The sequence below is a fragment of the Homo sapiens genome, chromosome 3, assembly GCF_000001405.40.
Source record: "Homo sapiens chromosome 3, GRCh38.p14 Primary Assembly".
NCBI lineage: Eukaryota > Metazoa > Chordata > Mammalia > Primates > Hominidae > Homo > Homo sapiens.
In genome coordinates, this window is record NC_000003.12 from 8,834,749 (window position 1) to 8,835,407 (window position 659).

The window sequence follows — 659 nt, forward strand, 5'->3', positions numbered from 1 at the left end:
TTGGCCAGGCTGGTCTCGAACTCTTGATCTCAGGTGATCCACCCGTCTCAGCCTCCCAAAGTGCTGGGATTACAGGCGTGAGCCACTGTGCCCAGCGTAAATAAATTTTTAAAGATGTTCAACCTCATTGGGCATGATGGAAATACAAATTAAGCTATAACGAAATACCACTAAATGCCTGCCATGGGGACTAATAGTAAAAAGAAAATATCGAATTGGCCAAGATCCATTCATCTACTGAAACCAGAATCTCACGCAAGTGCTGGTGGGAATAAAAACTTTAGAAAACAGTTGAACATTAGCTAATGAAGATAAACATATCAGTACTTTATGACTCGGGAGTTCCATTCCTAAATATACGCCCAACAGAAATGCATTCACATGAATGCCAGGGAGACATATGCAAGAATACTCACAGCAACATTATTCATAAAAGCCTCTCTGAGTCTAATTTGCAAACTGAGAAGAGTAATAATTCCCACCCAGGACTGTGGTGAGGATTAAATATCATCAATACGAAGTACTCAGTGCTCCATGTGGCATGTGATATGTCCATGGTGAGTGGAAGCAAGCGTTTATTATTATTTGTGGCCTGCATCAATCAGGTTCTCGGTTGCAAAAAACAAAAACAAAGACAAAAAACAGAAATTTACTCTGAC